Raw genomic sequence first — 23,966 nt, 5'->3', positions numbered from 1 at the left:
AAGAGAGAGTCATGCAATGAATGATGTCTAGGTACAAACTATAAAATAATGTGTATATTTCATATACTTATCTGCTAAATTAAATAGTTAAGAGACAAATTAGTAGGAATTATGTGCTGCCATACATATTTCTACAAAAACATCTCTACCTCCACCTCACAAACACTTCTTTGAAACATCCTGATATACATGAGGAATAAGTAATATCCCACTTCCCTTTAATTTTCATCAGAGTATCTAATCACATGCGCTCTAGCCATTTGGATATATTTGTAAGTATGAATTATCCATTCCTAACCTTTTTTTTCTGTCAGTTTTTTTATGAGTTGTCTAAAATTCCATAAATGTAAGTCCTCAAATTTGTATATTACAGACAATTAATCAGTCTTCTGGTTTAGCATTTTGAATAGGCCATATCCAAAGATACACATATGAGGAAAGTTAGATATTCCTGGTGCAGTTATACATTTCTCAAGTATGTTAAAATATAAAGTACATATCAAACATTTAAATATTGTTGGACTAAAAATTGAGTTAGGTTCATATATGACGAACATGATTTTAAAGTCAGACAACCTGGATTTACACCCAAGTTTGCTAACTTCATAGATTTAGGCAAAATTTTTGTTCTGACTCGGCTTTAGTAGAGTTTATTTTGTTAACATTTTTTATTCATTTGTTTGATTTGTGAGAATGTGTGGGGAGAATGAGACTGAATATAAGATGTATGGATATTATTACAAATTATATTCATCCACCTTTGTGTTTCACTTTGTTTTGTGGTGAACTCTTTTGGAATTTAATATTAAATTTAAGAAATTACAAAACTTTTAGTTTTTTATGTTACAGTTATAAGTAATTATACTGCTATATTTTATTTTTATGCAATTTAATTAGCATTGTATTTATAAGATAGTATATATCACTTAAAATTTTTAAAAACATATTTCTAAATTATTCCCGTTCTTTATTCAAGTAGGCCATTAAAATATTTATCTTAATGACCAATTCAGAGTTGGATAAAAGTTTTGGATGTTTCATTCAGCATCCCTCCTGATAATGAAGAAAATAATCAGTGTCTTCTGGTGGTCTGTCATCATTAGGTGAACAACTAAGGACTAGACAGAAAAAGTGATATGCTGGGTTAATGCCTTGGTCAAATGTGGGTATGAGCATTTCAAAGTCATTATCTGCCAACCATCTATATTGAGCTGATGATACTCACTCACCAGCAGTGAGGGTCTTTACTATGTAATTTAAATGCCTGGATACATTTTTAAAAGTAAAAATGTTTGCTTCTAACCTATGACATTTCCTGTATACAGAAATAACCCTTTGGGAAACATCTAAACTTCTAGAGCTTATGTGTTTCCAACAAGTAATTCCATTCCTTGTTTTTCCACTTCTGCTTCAATTTGACACTTAAATACATCTAGCAACTTTGCCTAAAGCAAATTGAAGGCTTTCTTTACTTTTGCATGCATTATTAGAGACTCTAATCTCTCATCTATGGCAATTCATATTTTATTTCACTGAAGTGTAGTCTTTAATTTGCTCCTTTTGAAAAATGTTCCACTCTTTCATTACCTTATTAGATTTCTAGTCAATTCAATTAGATTCACTGCAAGTAAATTTATTTAAAAGGTATTATATGCCAAAATATAAGTCATCCTTTTGCAAAGATAAAATATGAATGGTACTATTTTCAGGTAATGAACTTGAACAATCGTAGATTATTTTACTAGCTTTTGGCATCTACAGAGTACTTAATTAGAATTCATTTGCCCATAGGCTACTAATTTTATAAAGATTGACATCAGCTGCAATACAATGAAACCTACCAAGTCATATCAGTAAGAGGGATAGTGTTGCTTATAATCCTTAGATAGACAATTCAATATGATTTTGATATTTAAAAAAATAAGGCTCCGCAGCCATTACCTTTATTTTCTTGACAATTATTTCCATTAGAATGTTCTAATTTATGACTATAAACAATAAGAATGTTGGCCTTATTTAAATTTCAGCAAATGAATATGGATCCAGAAATTACAGAGAAATTTCTCTTTGAAGACTACTTTTAACAACACATTTAGAAGCTAAATTAACAAACTTATTACTCACATAAGTTGAAACATTGCATTTGTCATCTTGAGAGGCAGTAGTAAGTGAATTGTTGTACTATTTTCCTAAATTAGGCTCTGCAATGTATTTCGGTATCAACTGAAACATTTGGAATTGTTTGTTAAAATAAACACCACACACCATCAATTTCCCTTCCTCATGGATTAAAACAAATCATCAAGCATTTGGGAGCCATACTTAAATTCTTAGTATATGAACAATTTAATACCATGATCATTATTTAAGGAATTATCCTCAATCACAAAAATATCATATTTTGGCTACAAAGTTATATGTTGAGAGTATTCAAATCCTGACTACATTACTGACATACAATAGTTGAGCGAGCCACATGCAATCACAAAAATATATTGCCATTAACGGTGTCATTACAACATGTAATGCATAACGTAGTATATTATTTCTCTAACTTCTGGTAGTTCTCATCTTTCTTCTCGAAAATTGGTGAATTATCAATCTTGTTAATAAAATAGCATCAGCATCTTTATATTCACTGTTTAATTCAATACTAATTCAAGACCAGGAGGCTAAATTTTGACTAACAATTGTTCCCTGAAGAAAGCACTGTTTCATTTTACTGGTGTATGCTTCGTTCTCTACAAATAGTGTTCCAAAAACTCTTTAAAAATCTACATAATAACAAGACAAACAATTATTATTAAAATAAAATACACTTTGTATAGCATAGAATTTTAGAAACAGAAAAATAATGCATTTTATTTCCTCTAGATGTGTATTATTTTTATACAATCAGTAAGTCATTGGTTTTATATCATGGAAAAACTATACGTTTGGTTCAATATGTATGTGCTATTGCTTATCCACATTGTATAATATCTTAGTCTGTCTTGTGCTGCTTTTATAGAATGCCATACGCCAGATAATTTAGATAGAACTGAAATTTATTTCTTATAGTTCTGGAGATTGGAAAGTCCAAGATAAAGATGCCAACATTTGGCAAGGATCATCTTGCTGTGTCATCCCATGGCAGAAGACATCCCATAATGGAAGGCACAGAGATGGTGAAAGAGACACAAAAGAGACTGAACTCATCCTTTTATAAGAAACACACTTCCATAATAATAGCATTAATTTATTCATAAAGGCAGAACTTTTATGGTGTAATCATCTCTTAAAGTTACCACTCCTTAATGCTGCTAAAATGGCAATTAAATTTCAATAAGAGTTTGGAAGGGAACAAGTATTCAAACCATAGCATTCTGTCCCTGGCCCCCAAAACTAACATTCTTCTCGTGTACAAAATACATTTAGTCCATTCCAATATCCAAAAAAGTCTTATTTCATTCTAACATCAACTCCAAATTCCAGTCTCATCTAAATCAGAGATGAGTGAGATTCAACGCATGATTAATCCTGAGAGAAACTTCTTGTCAGCTCTGAGCCGGTGAAACTAGACAAGTTATATGCTTCCAAAATACAATGGTGGCATAAGATGGGCATTTCCATTCCAAAAGGAAGAAGTAGACAAGAAAAGAGGGGTATCTGATTCCAAGTATCTTCAAAATCTAATAGGGAGAACAGCATTGAATTTTTTTTTTTTTAATACTTTAAGTTATAGGGTACATGTGCACAACGTACAGGTTTGTTACATAGGCTCCGTAATAATCTCCTTTGACTCCATACCCCACCTTCTGGGCATTTTGAGCTAGGAGTTAGGCCCTCAAGGGCTTGGGCCTCCTGCAAACCACAACTTAGCTGGGCTTAGCCTATGCAGCAGTTCTCATTGGTCAGAGTCTTGTGCCTCCAGCTCTCAGGCTGGGGCTGCACACTGGTGTCTAAGAGTTCTGAGGTCTCAGCAACAGCCACACTCTTTTTGGCTCCACTAAGCATTGCCAAAATGAAAATTCCCTGTGGTGGTTCTGCCCTTGTGGCAGATTTTTGCCTGGGCCCCCAGGCTGTCCAATACACTCTTTAAAATCTAGGTGGAGGCCACCCTGGCCCTACAGCTTACAAACTCTTTGTACCTGCATAATTAGCACCAAATGGACTCCACCAAAGCTTAGTGCTTGTGCCCTGTGGTGCTGCCACACAGGGTGCACCTGGGCCTGCCTAAGTCATAGGCTGCTTCTTACCAGTCTTACAATGGCAATTCATTTCCAACATGAGTTTGGGAGGGGTCAGGCATTCAAACCATAACATACGCCATTGCTATTATGTGTCATCCAAAAATATCAGTGGATAGAGATTGATGACAACTCATGGTTTTGTCTAAATTGGAAAGTTACTTGGCTTTAATGTTCTAACTAGACCTCTACATTTTTCAGCAATAATGTGAAGTTATATTAATTGTGGCAAATATTTATTGTATTTTCAAAAGATGTCCTCCACAATATTTCTCATTACACATACACATACTAAGGTTGGCATTCTTACAAAGAAGTGTTTCCTATGTTCACTCATAGGTGGGTTTTTTATCACTGCAAAGTGAATTTTAGTTCATTTATACTTAAAGACTACATTGTATTCCTGTTCTCTAACAGTCAATTTTCAAATTATAAGAACATTTCCCACCCCCATTGCTTTGTTCCTATTGTATTATTTTTGTAAATAATTTTTTATTGTGGAAAATATGTACAACACAACTTCTGCCATTTTAATCATTTGTAAATATACATTCACAGTGTTCTACAACCATTATCTCCATTTATAAAACTTTTTCATCACCCCAGAAACTCTGTAACCATTAAATAATAATTCCCTTTTTCATCTACTGTATTATTTTAATAATTAATGTGTTTACTGTAAATGCTTGCTTAATTTCATCTTCAAAATTATCTGATGACCCATTATACAATCTTATCAATATTCACTAAATATTAATGGAATTGTAAGCAAGTTTTTTTCTAATTAATATTCTCTGAATGCCATTCCCTGAAGGTCAGTTCTGTTAATGTCATCCAGAGATTATTAACAAAGAAGCCATTGGAAAATTCAGTAAGAGAAATTTTCTTGTTTAAATGAGACAACTAACATTAATTTAAAAAACTTGTTTCAAATAAGATCAATTAATCAGACTCTACAGATTTGTAAATATATTGACAAACCATAACACTTAAAATTAATTGTGTTCTAATAATTGTTTCAGTGGTATCCAAAAACATATAAGGATTAAATATTTTCAACTAATTAACAGTTTTCATTGGTCAAGAATAAATAATAACAATTTTGGGGGGGAGTTCTACAGAAACATTTTCTAATAATATAAACTAAATGAAGTATTCAGAAATATATGTTGGTATAACAAATTTTCCTGCTTTTATGAGAATAACATTTTTCTAACTAAAACTGTCAGATCAAAATTTTTCTGGAATGGTAGTTAATCATTCAAGTTCAAAGTAATTATTAATGCTTGTTTCCTTTTCAAAATTAATTTTAAAGAATTCATTCATTCATCTACAACAAGTAGTCATAAGACCTCATATGTATGTAAAAAGAACATATATAGGAACATATATATTCCCTATTTGATATATATATAAAATATATATGATATATATATACATTTTATATATATAATATACATATATATATATATATAATTTTCTTTCCCTATTTGAGACACAACTAGCTTCTTCAGCAAACCTGTTCGGACAGTGACAAGCATTCCACTTGAACTAATAATCAGAGTACAGACTACTTGCTTTAAATATTATACTTTATCCATGTCATACTTTGCATCAAGTATAACACTGATTTGATGAATTTTAGAACCATTAACATTTTTGTTTTATTTTCCTAACATCCTAGCAGAGGAGATTCTATAAGTGAATAAATTACCATTATTATCTTAGTTCATGGTAATATTTGCTATATACTCACTAGAGTTTTTATGCACTTTCTTATATAGTTGTAGGAATGGGATTTTAGTTTTTATTTAGGTAGTTTGTTACCTAGTATGTTAAGAATCATATTTATAGCCATTTATATGAACTCATTAATTATCCCTTCTTTTAAAATAAAAAAAATGTTGGTCAAAATCTCCTGCTGGAAGCATCTCTATCCTCTGTTTTCTTCTGAGATTTTGGTATTTTTCATTTTACAGTGTCTTTTTTTTCTATATACCTCTTCAAGGTTGGTTTCCTCTGCAACACCACTTTGCTATTATCTTTTATTTTATGTACTTTAACCATAGGCAAAATTTCATCCTTATGAAAGGTAATGGCTCTCAGAAATAAATACATATACATGGGCATGTGCATGCACACACACACACACACACACACACACACACACACACACACACACATGTCCCAAGAGTTGTTGCTTTAGATAACCATATGAGCATATCTTATCTTAGAATTTGTCCAAGCACCTAAAAACTCTCATATTTAAACTTTCTTAAGGATTGGTCCTCCTCATACCCCTCCTTTGCTTAAAAAAAAAAAAAAAAAAAACTGATGTCGCCTATATATAAACACCTCAGCTTAGTAACCTCAAAACACAGCTGCAAATAACCTTTTTAAATTTCCACAGTACTCCTCTGTGTACCACGGACTTTCGTTAAACATAATCGTTAAATGTCTACATATTCCCGTTAGAGTTTTGAAATATTGCTTATCTCTTGTTCACATTCCCGTTTTCAAATTTGAATTTCTACAATATTTTCGTACTTCTCTTGTAACACTGATAATACAATATCTTGCCATAGTACACTTGTCTTACATTCTTTAGTACATCTTCTTGTGCATGGAATATTTCTTGTTTATTTTTTATCTCCTATTATTCCTTGTACCTCTTATAGTTATTGCATCATTGGTAGGAATTCTAATTTTTATGAATCTCATTACCATTTGAATTATATTTTCATGTTATGATATTTAGAAAAACAAATCTAAAAATTATCACCCTACATTTCCTTTTAAACAGAGTTTTCTTTCCATTTACATTTTCGGTTTATTATATATCAGCACATATTTGTCTATTTGCTCACTGATCCACTCTTTACTATTTTTGTGGCCACTCATATACCTATTTTATGCATGTCTAAACTTGGCTGTCTACAAGCTGCTAAAATTTTATTTATTATTTTATCATTCAGTAATTTTTGGACTTCCATGCAAGAAACCAATCTGTTCACTTATAACAAAAATTTATTTGTTCAAGGAATGAATATTGTTGGGGAAGCTCAATGTCATTATGAGGGACAAAAAGTTGGACTCGCTTTATAACACCAAGGTCATTATCACTTCTACATTCTTAGAGCTGGCATCTTTCTGATTTCTTAACAGATACAATCCTATTGTCATAGCCATGGAAGCTTAAATTTCCCAGCCTATACTATCATGCCTAGAAGGGGAGATAGAATCTGTACCTTCAACTATAATCAAATATTTTTAGCTTCACTCAAATTAGATTAACTTAGTTCACATACATTTACCTTTCAATCAATTTCCATGGTTCAGTGTATGTTACACATTTATTGCATTAAGAAAATGAATGCTGTATCTAGAAATATGAAAGAAGATGGCAATCCCCCTCAAATGAAATATGCAAAACTAGTGAACAGAGTGCTTTCCCTTGAAAACTGCCAGGTTTTATTTTCAGAAGAAAGTAGAAAGTTACACAACTGCTCCAGGAAACTGCACTGTTTTAAAACTACTTTATAGACTATAAGTGTCTTGAGGGCAAAGCCTGTTTCTTAATTGGCTCTATGCCTGCAGTGTCTAGCCTAATGTAACAAACATAGTGGTTGAATGCATACCATGTATTTGTTTTATACCAGGAGATTCTTAGTACAACTATAAACCACATATTTAATCTTTATGAGTTTTTTTCTGCCATTGCAAATAGAGGCTCAGTTTCTAATTTCTCAGTAAAAATTATCTTCCTGGAATTTGGAGCACATGATTTTATATATATATATGAAATGTTTCTTCCATTTCCTCTATTAATTGTGTTCTTACTTTGGTGGCATAAGGAGTGGTGGTGGTTTGGTAATGTTTATAGATTGTGACACTCAGGATTGCAAACTTGCAAATATATTTTCATATATATATATAAATATATATTGTGTGTGCGTTGTTTGTCAATAGATAGATAGAAAATGTACATGTTTGCTAAGGATTCAGCCCTGAGAAAATAAAGAGCTAAGAGTTCATTATATATACAAAAATATATGACTTTATAGCCTCCTTTCTCCTGAAAAAGACATATTCAGTGCTTATTTTTTATTTTTCCGTTTTATGAGCCTTAAAATATTGTGAGTTTTCTTGTTATTACATGCTCTTTTATTAAACTGTTTATGGACATTCTTTATCTAATCCTCAACTGGACTAAAACCAGAATTTAATAAACTCAGCTAATTGATATATATTCTGTAACTCTGACACTAATACATAGCATAAGAAAGGTATAATACGCACCACTTTTTAATTTACCAGTGTAAACAAATTTTCAACCATATAGCTGCCTATATTTAAGATGCCTTATGAATCATGCATCTATGGAAAGAATATATCTTTTAAGATGAGTGTCAATCACAGATCCCAGTAATAAAGTATGGATTAACCCCATACATTGTTAGTGAAGCAATTTTTTAGTCTTTGAAAGTCACAGGTCAGTTTACATAGCTAGTTAGCTAGATATATTCTAGATATATCTAGATATATCTAGGTGATGTTATCTAGGTGGTGTTATCCCAAATCTATATTATGTCTACCTGTTTCAGTGATCTTATACACTGCATTACACACAATAGATTCTTTTTAAAATCATAGAGAATAAATGAATATATGTATAAATAGATGTAGATGAAACCTAACATAGTCAGTATTTCCTGCTGGATTTTAATATGGCAAATGTCTTTGCTTGAATTATACAGGAGATTCATTCTTATTCACAGGTAACAGGGAATCGTTGTTGGCACAAAATTTGTGTCCTAAGCCAAGCATGTAAGCTTTATCAGTTTGCATGATAAGGAGGGAACAAATTCCCTTATTGTGAGTTTATTATGACTAATTTTCAGCTAGCTGGTGGATTTATGATACATTATATGATTTTTTAATATGTTTCAACCTTCAAAATGTTATACAAATCCTATAAAATTGCAACTTTCTGAAGTTTTACAACAACCTCCTTTTTATAACAAGAGTCATTATTTTGATTTGACAATGCCAAAGAAAAACCCCTCTCTCTCAGTGCTATGTTTTACTTTCAGTACAAAGTTCATGGTAATAATAAAAATATTTTCTATTTAAAGACAGCACTTTATCATAAGAATCTGAAAAAACAATTCTTGTGATATTCCTCTAGGTTGCATTTTTCCAAAGAAAGTCATTTAGTGCTTATATTCAAAAGCCCAGTAAAAGTATCATATCTTAGCTAAGAATCCATGTTAGACGTAGAAAACCATTCCAACTCCTTACCAGGGACAACGTACCCTGATCGGGTTTGACCTGCCTCATTGTTCTTCTCTGCTACACTCCAGCCATTGGCCTTCATTTTGTTGCTCATATACAATACACTTACTGGATTTATTCTAAACTTGGATATAGCAAATAAAAAGCACATTTCATCTGTGGGACAGAAAGGAAAGAGGAGATATGTATAGGCTACTTCTTTGCAGTCAGATGATGTCAGTTAGCTAAGTCTAATTATGGCAGAGAGATTGTGTCTCATGAAACAAATGCTTTTAGACCTCTATTCTGGTTACCAAATGTATGCTGTGCAACATGTTTCTCCAAGCTAGTGAGGACCATGGCAATGCTGGTCACACCATAGGCCACCATGTGGGTCACTGTTATAATATCCAAATTCAACCAAGCCAGAATTAGATACATTATTACATTTTAAAATCATTTTAAAAGAATGAGCCTTATATTTTTAGATAATCTTTAGCTTTTGTGTGGATATTTTATTCAGACCCAGTCATATTATTTGTATCTTAGATAATAATACATGTCCTATCTAATGTCCTTGGAACCTTTCTAAAAGGCCTTGATAACACATTCTCTGAGAAGTCTAGGTCTGAGATAAAAGCAGATGTAATTTCTGATAACATGTGTTTGTAGCAAATGGCTGCCCTTGTCCTGAAGAAAAATACCCTGAGGAAAAATAATCAAATTTACTCATGCTCTGGGACATTCTCAAGGTAGTGGACATGAGTGCCCAGTCCTAGGTCTTCTGAAGATCTGGTATGCTTCCTTTTGGACTCCATGGTATAGGGCAATTCTGCAAGAAGATTTGGAGTCCCTTCTCTCCCTCCCGCATATCCATCCCTAATGGGACTAATTAAAGCTAGCCAGAGCTCAATAACCATGCTTCTCACTGTCGTATAAGCTATTTGCCTGGCTTATTTAGTTTTCTTTTTCTTTTTTTTTCTTTTCTTTTTTTTTTTTTTTTTTGAGATGGAGTCTCGCTCTGTCGCCCAGGCTGGAGTGCAGTGGCGCGATCTCGGCTCACTGCAAGCTCCTCCTGCCGGGTTCACACCATTCTCCTGCCTCAGCCTCCCAAGTAGCTGGGACTACAGGCGCCCGCCACGAAGCCTGGCTAATTTTTTGTATTTTTAGTAGAGACGGGGTTTCACCGTGTTAGCAAGGATGGTCTCGATCTCCTGACCTCGTGATCCGCCCGCCTCAGACTCCCAAAGTGCTGGGATTACAGGCGTAAGCCACCGCGCCCAGCTGCCTGGCTTATTTTCTTTTCTCTTTTTTCTTAAACGATTGTGGCCGTAAAAAAGTGTTCTTCTCTCTCCCTTCTGCTGCCCCAAGGAAACCTCGCTTGGTCAAAACTTGCTTATCTTGTAAATCTTATGTGCATTCTCTTATGAATATGTTCTATCTGAGGAAAATATAATAGCATAATCTCTCTGCGATATCTTGTGCATAAAGTGCAAATCATAATACATATTTGCTTGGTTTTTCCCAAGGTAAGAGATGATGTAACTCTTACAGATGATGGTGATAGAGTCATAGGAAGTGACAGAGGAGGATGAGGATAATAATATCCTGTCCCACACTAAGCATTAAACTTGAATATTTAAATGACTGAGACAAATTTCTTATCGAGTCATGTCAAAGTTTAAACACAAACTAAGGTTTCTTATTTTGGTGTGTGTGTAGTGGGGTGGGTGCAGGTGATATTTAGAATACACTTAACTGTCTTTTCAGGAGTTTTAGTTTAATAATTTCAGACTGTTTTGAGTAAATGACCTACTGTGAGAATTGGCCACTTGCATCCTACATTTGGAAGCCATACAGTAAATCATAAAACTCCCTTTTAATTTTGGTCATACTACATATGTGAGTGCATTAAATATTTCCTAAATATTGATCATTTTCTATTTTAATTTGACAAAAGAAATTATATTACTTACATTTTGTTTGATTGCAGCAAACCATACCTTAAGAAAACAAACATTCCTGCTGAGATTATTTGATAAAAACATTAAATTTATTTTATTGTCATTCAATTTACCAGTAGATGGACAGAAATAGAGACAATATTATAGGTATTAAAACTTCAAAATTCTAGGAGAAAGTTAAGTTTAACAAACAAAATTTTTTGTTTTTTAAAAAACAAGTTTAAAAAGCAGCAGTTTTTTTAAAAAGCAGCATTAAGGAATGTATTTTTTTAGGAGCCAAGATGGCCAAATAGGAACAGCTCCGGTCTACAGCCCCCAGCCTGAGCAACGCAGAAGACGGGTGATTTCTGCATTTCCATCTGAGGTACTGGGTTCATCTCACTAGGGAGTGCCAGACAGTGGGCGCAGGTCAGTGGGTGCGTGCACCATGAGCGAGCCGAAGCAGGGTGAGGCATTGCATCACTCGGGAAGCGCAAGGGGTCAGGGAGTTCCCTTTCCTAATCAAAGAAAGGGGTGACGGACGGCACCTGGAAAATCGGGTCACTCCCACCTGAATACTGCGCTTTTCCGATGGGCTTAAAAAACGGCGCACCACGAGATTATATCCCGCACATGGCTGGGAGGGTCCTACGCCCACGGAGTCTCCCTGATTGCTAGCACAGCAGTCTCAGATCAAACTGCAAGGCGGCAGCGAGGCTGGGGGAGGGGCGCCCACCATTGCCCAGGCTTGCTAAGGTAAACAAAGCAGCCAGGAAGCTCGAACTGGGTGGAGCCCACCACAGCTCAAGGAGGCCTGCCTGCATCTGTAGGCTCCATCTCTGGGGGCAGGGCACAGACAAACAAAAAGACAGCAGTAACCTCTGCAGACTTAAATGTCCCTGTCTGACAGCTTTGAAGAGAGCAGTGGTTCTCCCAGTACGCAGCTGGAGATCTGAGAACGGGCAGACTGCCTCCTCAAGTGGGTCCCTGACCTCTGACCCCCGAGCAGCCTAACTGGGAGGCACCCCCCAGCAGGGGCACACTGACACCTCACACTGCAGGGTACTCCAACAGACCTGCAGCTGAGGGTCCTGTCTGTTAGAAGGAAAACTAACAAACACAAAGGACATCCACACCAAAAACCCATCTGTACATCACCATCATCAAAGACCAAAAGTAGATAAAACCACAAAGATGGGGAAAAAACAGAACAGAAAAACTGGAAACTCTAAAAAGCAGAGCGCCTCTCCTCCTCCAAAGGAACGCAGCTCCTCACCAGCAACAGAACAAAGCTGGACGGAGAATGACTTTGACAAGCTGAGAAGGCTTCGGACGATCAAATTACTCTGAGCTAAGGGAGGACATTCAAACCAAAGGCAAAGAAGTTGAAAACTTCGAAAAAAATTTAGAAGAATGTATAACTAGAATAACCAATACAGAGAAGTGCTTAAAGGAGCTGATGGAGCTGAAAACCAAAGCTCGAGAACTATGTGAAGAATGCAGAAGCCTCAGGAGCCCATGTGATCAACTGGAAGAAAGGGTATCAGCAATGGAAGATGAAATGAATGAAATGAAGCGAGAAGGGAAGTTTAGAGAAAAAAGAATAAAAAGAAAGAGCAAAGCCTCCAAGAAATATGGGACTATGTGAAAAGACCAAATCTATGTCTGATTGGTGTACCTGAAAGTGATGGGGAGAATGGAACCAAGTTGGAAAACACTCTGCAGGATATTATCCAGGAGAACTTCCCCAATCTAGCAAGGCAGGCCAACGTCCAGATTCAGGAAATACAGAGAACGCCACAAAGATACTCCTCGAGAAGAGCAACTCCAAGACACGTAATTGTCAGATCCACCAACGTTGAAATGAAGGAAAAAATGTTAAGGGCAGCCAGAGAGAAAGGTCAGGTTACCCTCAAAGGGAAGCCCATCAGACTAACAGCAGATCTCTCAGCAGAAACCCTACAAGCCAGAAGAGAGTGGGGGCCAATATTCAACATTCTTAAAGAAAAGAATTTTCAACCCAGAATTTCATATCCAGCCAATTTAAGCTTCATAAGTGAAGGAGAAATAAAATCCTTTACAGACAAGCAAATGCTGAGAGATTTTGTCACCACCAGGCCTGCCCTAAAAGAGTTCCTGAAGGAAGCGCTAAACATGGAAAGGAACAACCAGTACCAGCTGCTGCAAAATCATGCCAAAATGTAAAGACCATAGAGACTAGGAAGAAACTGCATCAACTAATGAGCAAAATAACCAGCTAACATCATAATGACAGGATCAAATTCACACATAACACTATTAACTTTAAATGTAAATGGACTAAATGCTCCAGTTAAAAGACACAGACTGGCAAATTGGATAAAGAGTCAAGACCCATCAGTGTGCTGTATTAAGGAAACCCATCTCACGTGCAGAGACACACATAGGCTCAAAATACAAGGATGGAGGAAGATCTACCAAGCAAATGGAAAACAAAAAAAGGCAGGGGTTGCAATCCTAGTCTCTGATAAAACAGACTTTAAACCAACAAAGATCAAAAGAGACAAAGAAGGCCATTACATAATGGTGAAGGGATCAATTCAACAAGAAGAGCTAACTATCCTAAATATATATGCACCCAATACAGGAGCACCCAGATTCATAAAGCAAGTCCTGAGTGATCTACAAAGAGACTTAGACTCCCACACATTAATAATGGGAGACTTTAACACCCCACTTTCAACATTAGACAGATCAACGAGACAGAAAGTCAACAAGGATACCCAGGAATTGAACTCAGCTCTTAGCCAAGCGGACCTAATAGACATCTACAGAACTCTCCACCCCTAATCAACAGAATATACATCTTTTTCAGCACCACACCACACCTATTCCAAAATTGACCACATACTTGGAAGTGAAGCTCTCCTCAGCAAATGTAAAAGAACAGAAATTATAACAAACTATCTCTCAGACCACAGTGCAATCAAACTAGAACTCAAGATTAAGAATCTCACTCAAAACCGCTCAACTACATGGAAACTGAACAACCTGCTCCTGAATGACTACTGGGTACATAACAAAATGAAGGCAGAAATAAAGATGTTCTTTGAAACCAACGAGAACAAAGACACAACATACCAGAATCTCTGGGATGCATTCAAAGCAGTGTGTAGAGGGAAATTTATAGCACTAAATGCCCACAAGAGAAAGCAGGAAAGATCCAAAATTGACACCCTAACATCACAGTTAAAAGAACTAGAAAAGCAAGAGCAAACACATTCAAAAGCTAGCAGAAGGCAAGAAATAACTAAAATCAGAGCAGAAATGAAGGAAATAGAGACACAAAAAACCCTTCAAAAATTTAATGAATCCAGGAGCTGGTTTTTTGAAAGGATCAACAAAATTGATAGACCGCTAGCAAGACTAATAAAGAAAAAAAGAAGAATCAAATAGACGCAATAAAAAATGATAAAGGGGATATCACCACCGATCCCACAGAAATACAAACTACCATCAGAGAATACTACAAACACCTCTACACAAATAAACTAGAAAATCTAGAAGAAATGGATAAATTCCTTGACACATACACTCTCCCAAGACTAAACCAGGAAGAAGTGGAATCTCTGAATATACCAATAACAGGAGCTGAAATTGTGGCAATAATCAATAGCTTACCAACCAAAAAGAGTCCAGGACCAGATGGATTTACAGCCGAATTCTAACAGAGGTACAAGGAAGAACTGGTACCATTCCTTCTGAAACTATTCCAATCAATAGAAAAAGAGGGAATCCTCCCTAACTCATTTTATGAGGCTAGCTTCATTCTGATACCAAAGCCGGGCAGAGACACAACCAAAAAAGAGAATTTTAGACCAATATCCTTGATGAACATTGATGCAAAAATCCTCAATAAAATACTGGCAAAACGAATCCAGCAGCACATCAAAAAGCTTATCCACCATGATCAAGTGGGCTTCATCCCTGGGATGCAAGACTGGTTCAATATACGCAAATCAATAAATGTAATCCAGCATATAAACAGAGCCAAAGACAAAAACCACATGATTATCTCAATAGATGCAAAAAAGGCCTTTGACAAAATTCAACAACCTTTCTTGCTAAAAGCTCTCAATAAATTAGGTATTGATGGGACGTATTTCAAAATAATAAGAGCTATCTATGACAAACCCACAGCCAATATCATACTGAATGGGCAAAAACTGGAAGCATTCCCTTTGAAAACTGGCACAAGACAGGGATGCCCTCTCTCACCACTCCTATTCAACATAGTGTTGGAAGTTCTGGCCAGGGCAATTAGGCAGGAGAAGGAAATAAAGGGTATTCAATTAGGAAAAGAGGAAGTCAAATTGTCCCTGTTTGCAGATGAGATGATTGTATATCTAGAAAACCCCATTGTCTCAGCCCAAAATCTCCTTAAGCTGATAAGCAACTTCAGCAAAGTCTCAGGATACAAAATCAATGTACAAAAATCACAAGCATTCTTATACACCAACAACAGACAGAGAGCCAAATCATGAGTGAACTCCCATTCACAATTGCTTCAAAGAGAATAAAATACCTATGAATCCAACTTACAAGGGATGTGAAGGAGCTCTTCAAGGAGAACTACAAACCACTGCTCACTGAAATAAAAGAGGATACAAACAAATGGAAGAACATTCCATGCTCATGGGTAGGAAGAATCAATATCGTGAAAATGGCCATACTGCCCAAGGTAATTTACAGATTCAATGCCATCGCATCAAGCTACCAATGCCTTTCTTCACAGAATTGGGAAAAACTACTTTAAAGTTCATATGGAACCAAAAAAGAGCCCGCATCACCAAGTCAATCCTAAGCCAAAAGAACAAAGCTGGAGGCATCACACTACCTGACTTCAAACTATACTACAAGGCTAGAGTAACCAAAACAGCATGGTACTGGTACCAAAACAGAGATATAGATCAATGGAACAGAACAGAGCCCTCAGAAATAATGCTGCATATCTACAACTATCTGATCTTTGACAAACCTGAGAAAAACAAGCAATGGCGAAAGGATTCCCTATTTAATAAATGATGCTGGGAAAACTGGCTAGCCATATGTAGAAAGCTGAAACTGGATCCCTTCCTTACACCTTATACAAAAATTTATTCAAGATGGATTAAAGACTTAAACGTTAGACCTAAAACCATAAAAACCCTAGAAGAAAACCTAGGCATTACCATTCAGGACATAGGCATGGGCAAGGACTTCATGTCTAAAACACCAAAAGCAATGGCAACAAAAGCCAAAATTGACAGATGGGATCTAATTAAACTAAAGAGCTTCTGCACAGCAAAAGAAACTACCATCAGAGTGAACAGGCAACCTACAAAATGGGAGAAAATTTTTGCAACCTACTCATCTGACAAAGGGCTAATATCCAGAATCTACAATGAACTCAAACAAATTTACAAGAAAAAACCAAAAAACCCCATCAAAAAGTGGGCGAAGGACATGAACAGACACTTCTCAAAAGAAGACATTTATGCAGCCAAAAAACACATGAAAAAATGCTCATCATCACTGGCCATCAGAGAAGTGCAAATCAAAACCACAATGGATACCATCTCACACCAGTTAGAATGGCAATCATTCAAAAGTCAGGAAACAACAGGTGCTGGAGAGGATGTGGAGATATAGGAACACTTTTACACTGTTGGTGGGACTGTAAACTAGTTCAACCATTGTGGAAGTCAGTGTGGCAATTCCTCAGGGATCTAGAACTAGAAATACCATTTGACCCAGCCATCCCATTACTGGGTATATACCCAAAGGACTATAAATCATGCTGCTATAAAGACACATGCACACGTATGTTTATTGTGGCATTATTCACAATAGCAAAGACTTGGAACCAACCCAAATGTCCAACAATGATAGACTGGATTAAGAAAATGTGGCACATATACACCATGGAATACTATGCAGCCATAAAAAATGATGAGTTCATGTCCTTTGTAGGGACATGGATGAAATTGGAAATCATCATTCTCAGTAAACTATCGCAAGAACAAAAAACCAAACACTGCATATTCTCACTCATAGGTGGGAATTGAACAGTGAGATCACATGTACACAGGAAGGGGAACATCACACTCTGGGGACTGTTGTGGGGTTAGGGGAGGGGGGAGGGATAGCATTGGGAGATATACCTAATGCTAGATGACGAGTTAGTGGGTGCAGCGCACCAGCATGGCACATGTATACGTATGTAACTAACCTGCACATTGTGCACATGTACCCTAAAACTTAAAGTATAATAATAAAAAAAAAAGAAAAAAGGAATGTATTTTTTAAAAAGTTTTTTTAAAAAGCAGCATTTTTTTGAAGTTTTTTAAAAAAATTTTTTTTAAAAAGCAGCATTAAGGAATGTATCACACTTGAGGGACATAAGACATGAATTAAATTATTTTGCATTGAAAGGTTTATCGATTTAATGTTGCAGCCAATTTTCAATGTTTTAATTTTTATAAATAGGTGAACTTTATTATTATATTTTAGCTACCTCCACAGCAATATTTGGTGATTATTCAGTTAATCAGGTTATGTAAGTCCTGAATGATTATTATGTCCTCTCTGTTAGGCAACCTGAAATGTATACAATTAATTGCTGATTTTGAATCACTGGCAAAATAAGACTATTACCAGCTAAACAGGGCTTAATGCAGAAGATACAGGGTGGAGGCTCAATATTCGCTTACAATTTCAATCCCATTTTCTACTGAATTAGAAAAAAATAATTTCTTTACATTTAAAACATTATAGTTATATCAACTTATTGATTTAGACTGACTATGTATTTTATGTAAAATGTCCCCAATATTATTGAAACCACATTTATAGACTACCCATCATGGGCATTAAATATAAAACATGGGAGACAAAAAATTGGGCGTTACAAACATAAATATGTAATTGGTAAGTAGGAGAAACAGCATCTTGGAAGACGTCTGGGAGGCAGCAATCAGAGGTGGAAAAAGAGCCTGCTGCTGGGATCTATGTTGATTTATTCAGCAATTTTCAACTCTGGTGACTTTTATCTCTCACCTGCCCAGGGGTCATTTGGCAATGTCGGGAAACATTTAATTGCCACAAATATGAGGTACTACTGGCATCAGTGAGTAGAGACGAAGGAAGCAGCTAACATCTTGGACTTCACTGTACAGCCTTACCAAAAGAATTATCTAGTTCACATGCTGCTGGCGAGAAAAGTTAGTTCATATAAATTTGAACAACCTAATGAAAAAGCAGATATGAAAAATTATAAACTTTAATTTTAAAATGTTAACTGTAAAATTATAAAACAATATACTTTAATCTATGCTACTGCTAAGTAGTGGAGCTAAAATTTTTCAGGATAACATAAAGTGACAGCACTAATATCTACATTTCTTAATGAAAGAAGTATATTTCAATTTGTGAGTTTAACCACTATTATAATCAAAATATAATTTCAGAGAAATAGTAATTGAATATCAGTAGGTAAAATATATAACCTATTTAGAAATAATTATAATGTAAATTAAAATAAAATAGTATTTTCAGTTTGTAAGGATATGTTTAAAGCATTTTATGTATCAACATAAAAAAGAAACATACATAATTAATAAAGAAAATGCAGTAAAAGACAAAAAGGAAAGCAAGCAGAGGAGAAAATTTAGGTATAATAAGGGGAAACTGATGTGTAGCTGCAAGAGACATCCGAAGCACTACACACAAAGTCTTATAAGAAAAAGAGAGAAGCAAACTATGCATTGAAGTAATAACCCAAGGTTATCCTACTGCTGTCTTGAAATTCAACATAAAATTGTATAAACATACAAACCTTTCTTGACTTAGAATTTATATACCATAACATATATCCTTTTAAAAACATACAAATTTTTTTAGTATATTTACAATCTAATTTTAAAATATTTCTATCCTGTTAAAAGAAACTAAACTTTATTCCACACCCTTTTCTCACTTAGCCCTGAGTTATCACTAATCAACATTTTTCTCTCTAGATTGACATATCTGAAAATTTTAAGTAAAATTATTTGAAATTATTATTATGAAAAAATAAGTTGTTAATATTAGATTTGTTCTAATAAACTCAAGTTACACTTAAAACATTCTAAAATATTATAAATATTTTAATTATAATTAAAATATTCAAAAATATTTAAATATTCTACAGTTAAAATATCCATCACATTTATCAAAAGCTAATATAAATATATTTTATCTTTCTTTTGAACTTAATATTTTTAACATTGTTTCTAAGGGGAAATGCAGGCCTAGATTTAAAATTATGATTAATACATTACTATTACATTTCAACTATTTTCACAAACCAGGGACAACCTAAAATGACATCAGAGCTTTGGGGGAGTATGACAATCCATAAGCAAATGCAAACACATGACAGTTTAGGAACATACTAAGAGCTACCAGAAAATTCTTGAGAAAATTTACGTTTTATCAGGCTTGTGCATTAATTCAAAATAATTATCTCATACTTTTTCATTAATGTATGCTACATTTTTTTTGCATACAGTGAGTGCCTTTTTACCAATAGTACCAGTAGATAAGAAGATAAGATACAGATAATAAAGCACAGAGCATTGCACAGATCTACACCAATGGATTGGAATGGAATGTAGGATTCTCTTCTTGCTGTGGACACCATCAAAATGTGAGATCACTTCTCTGCTCAATAGGACAATCATACTGATTCCTTAGGAAGACATATAGGAATCAGTAGAGGGAGATCCTACCCTGGAATCGTTTGATGTCCTTGGGTTATCTTCCTCTACAAAAAGGTAAGCCCTGACATTAAGTTGATAAGACCTATCAGAGGAGAGTTGGCTCACTATGTAAGCAATCTATAAACCGTATCTCTCCAGAAAGAGTTGAGAATTATATCTATAACTGACTTACTATATTGGCCACATTATCTATCTATGCAATAAAATAAAAATTTTAAATATATACCTGTGAAATTTATACGTATTTAATATTTTTAGTTCATCTTTGAAAAAATGAGTTGCTAAAATACTGAAGATATTAACTGGTTATTTCCCGATTGCAACAGTCACATGATTCAGTGATTACATTAAACTCTGTCTTCTATATCAAGTTATGGAAAAAGATAGACAGATATAAGCTCTTCTTTGAACATGATAACAGCATGATATAAAAGAAGATTGGGGGAGCTATAATTTTGAAAACTAGTTACCTATTATAGTATTCTGAATTCAGGTCTGTTCAATTTCTGGATAGCTAGCTAATTATTTTAATATACTATATATATATATATATACACTTTTGTTTTAAGATAGTTTTGCTTCAGCTAAGTTTAACATCAGACCCAGTGGTAATTTAATTACCTCCTGTAAATTGTAATCAACTCACACATTTGGGGTAGATTAAAAATGTATTCTACATCTTTAAACCGTTTATAAGCTCTGAACTTCAAATAATCTTTTTCATATAAAGTTAAATTAATCATATTTTGAAAAATACACTCTACAAACATAAAAGGATTTTCTAATTCATATTCACAATATTTGGCTCAATTTTGGGCAGCATTAAAATAATTGAGTGTTGTATCCACCCATTTATTTGTTGGCAACTGGAATAATTTTATTTTAATGATGACAAATGAATCAGAAATACGATATGAATTCATAATCAATACACTGTATTACATACAGAGGAAAAATACGTTTAGATTGACATTTAGAGTATATATTAACACAGTTAAATTACCTTCTTTAAAAATAATCCGTCAAAATCTAAATAAACGATGTGAAAGGGGAAGAAAATTTGCTTTTCTTTTGCCAAGTTGAATCTAGATGTTTAGGTGTTTGATAATACATAATTGCCCATATTTGAGAATGACTTTATTAATTATGTTGTTTCTTTCATTTAGGGCTAGTTGAAATAATGACATGTGGGAGATCAGCACTCCAAGTCAAAATTGCAAAACAGAAGAAAATTCCAGAATTATATCACTGTTGTAAGTCGATCAGTCATTACTGGGTATATATCCTAAAGGAAAAAAAAAAATCATTCTACCAAAAAGACACATGCACTCTCATGTTCATCACAACACTATTCAGAATAGCAAAGACATAGAATCAACCTAGGTGCCCATCAACAGTGGATGGGATAAAGAAAATGTGGTACATATACACCATGGAATACTACACAGACATAAGAAGACCAAAATCATGTCCTTTGCAGCAACATGGATAGAACTGAAGTTCATTTCCTAAGCGACTTTACACAGAAACAAAACACCAAATACCCCGCCCGTTCTCACTTATAAGTGGGAAGTAAACATTGGTTACTCCGGACATAAGGATGGTAACGATAGAAACTGGGGCCTACTTTGGGCAGTACGGCCATTTTATGTATATTGATTCTTCCAATCCATGAGCATGGAATGTTTTTCCGTTTGTTTGTGTCATCTACGGTCTCTATTAGCAGAACGAGGAGGGAAACAGGGGGACAAGGTTTGAAAAATTAACTGTTGGGTATTATGTTCAGTACCTTGGTAATGGGATCAATCACACTCCAAACCTCAGAATCACACAATATACCCAGGTAACAAATCTGCGCATGTACCCTCTGAATCTAAAATAAAAGTTGAAATTCTTTAAAGATTATAAATAGGGCCGGGCGCGGTGGCCCACGCCTGTAATCCCGGTACTTTGGGAGGCCGAGACGGGTGGATCACCTGAGGTCAAGATTTTGAGACCAGCCTGGCCAAAATGGTGGAACCCCGTCTCTACTAAAAGCACAAAAAATTAGCCGGGCGTGGTGGTGGGCGCCTGTAATCCCAGCTACTCAGGAGGCTGAGGCACGAGAATCTCTTGAACCTGGGAAGCAGAGGTTGCAGTGAGCAGCGGTAACGCAGTTGCTCCCCAGCCTGGGCAACAAGAGCTAAACTCCCTCTCAAAAAAAATAAAATAAAATAAATTAAAAGAAAAAGAAAAGAAAAAAAGAAAGAGAAATCAAATTGGGTATTTTGTTTAAAAAAAAGCATATGTTACTACCGTAAAAAGAAGGAAAAAGATAACATAATGAAGTAATTTTTGCTTTATTTGCTTTCTCCTATTTCTAGGACTTGCTATACTGCATCTCCTATGTATATTTGCCTTCATTGAAGAGTGGGTAAAGGATTGGAGAAAGAAAGAATGCTTTTCTCTAGAGCTAGGGAAGTTTATATTTTATGATTATTAAAAAAAGAAAAATAAACTTTTTCGTATATGTACCTGTGAGAGAAAAAAGCGCCATAAATTTATAGCTGCATTATGATGATATGATGTCCTTCCATTCCTTTAAAAAAAGAACAAGGAATCAAACCTGACTGAATTCCCAGAGATGCTTAGAGTTCAAACACTATCACATTCACTTCCCAAATCCTCATACTTTATATAACATTCCACTTCTCTTCCCAAATCTTCCTGATTGCAAATTCCATGCCACTAATGATGCACAATTAGTTGGGCTCATCTTTTCAAACTATGGTGTTTAGAATTAGGTCTGCTGTGCATACTGTGCCTATTATAAAATATATATATATATATTTATATATATAAACATGTATAAATTTATACAGATATTTAAATATATATATATAAATACATATATATATATATATACTTCAACCAAGCACTTTTGTTTTTTGAACAAATCTACAAATAGATAAATTTTTATCTGCATTTCATTTAAGTTCCTGGCCAATAGCAGAACTTCAGTAATAAAATTTGGATACTTGATCCAAAATCTTCTGGCATAAGACATACATAAAAACTTAATAATATTCACATAGTAATATTTTATGTCATAAATATTGCATGACTTAAGTAATTTTAACTAATTTTAAAATAAAAGAAACATAAATTTAAAGAACAAATTCTAAATGTGAAAGATAAATGTAGGAATATAAGAAAATTATTTTGGCAGCATGTCATTCTTTTCTGAAATTTTTCCCACATTAAATTTTCTCTAGTTTCTCTATTATCATCCCCTATTTGGCATTGTATGTGTTGGGAAAATGGTTCACTTACAGATGACTAAACTGCTGATTTCTGCGAAGACTAGTTGCTACTGCTGTGTATATGAATATATGGCTTATTATTACATGTAATCAAACTCCATCTGCCTATCCATCATCTCCTTTACAATTTCCCACTTTGCAACTTATGTAGTAATGAAGTTAAGTATTAAAAAACTTCTAAATATTTCTGATTCTATGTACACATCCAGTCCTCAAATTTGCCTAGCATAACAAAAAAGGCCTATCTAAACTAATTGTTGATTTAACTGAAATTTTTAAAATATAACTCCCTGTTTTCAAAGTTGAGTAATAAATTTTAAATTATAAAATTAGAATTCTGAAAATAATCTTTTACTTTTGTAATCTTTTCAAATTTCCTAAAGGATTTCATAGCCTTAAAATGATAGATCTAAGCTACAGATACCTAAGAAGTTAATG

The 23,966-nt window shown here is 34.5% G+C and overlaps 1 long non-coding RNA gene across 5 annotated transcripts in view, besides 1 other annotated feature; it reads left to right on the top strand.

Annotated features, from left to right (window-relative positions):
* Positions 1-23,966, top strand: part of LOC107986306 (uncharacterized) — a 201,750-nt gene that overhangs the window by 159,906 nt on the left and 17,878 nt on the right. For 4 of the 5 annotated variants that reach the window (XR_001741797.2, XR_001741800.2, XR_001741798.2 and 1 more), the window contains 2 exons: positions 20,016-20,280; positions 21,393-21,479. This is a non-coding gene — a long non-coding RNA (uncharacterized LOC107986306). Of the gene's footprint in view, positions 1-11,790; positions 11,832-20,015; positions 20,281-21,392; positions 21,480-23,966 lie in introns of those variants that run through there. The other variant, XR_001741799.1, reaches the window with a different exon arrangement.
* Positions 12,022-12,642: an enhancer, noted in NCBI's record as "NANOG-H3K27ac-H3K4me1 hESC enhancer chr4:117701308-117701928 (GRCh37/hg19 assembly coordinates)". NCBI's record gives its function as "activates a minimal SCP1, AML or CMV promoter by ChIP-STARR-seq in naive and primed H9 embryonic stem cells {active_cell/tissue: H9 hESC(naive and primed)}" and the evidence as "EXISTENCE:reporter gene assay evidence [ECO:0000049][PMID:30033119]".

The sequence above is a fragment of the Homo sapiens genome, chromosome 4, assembly GCF_000001405.40.
Source record: "Homo sapiens chromosome 4, GRCh38.p14 Primary Assembly".
In the NCBI taxonomy this organism is placed as follows: Eukaryota; Metazoa; Chordata; class Mammalia; order Primates; family Hominidae; genus Homo; species Homo sapiens.
The sequence above is the reverse complement of the archived record's forward strand: the minus strand, read 5'-3'. Positions and strand labels throughout refer to the sequence as shown.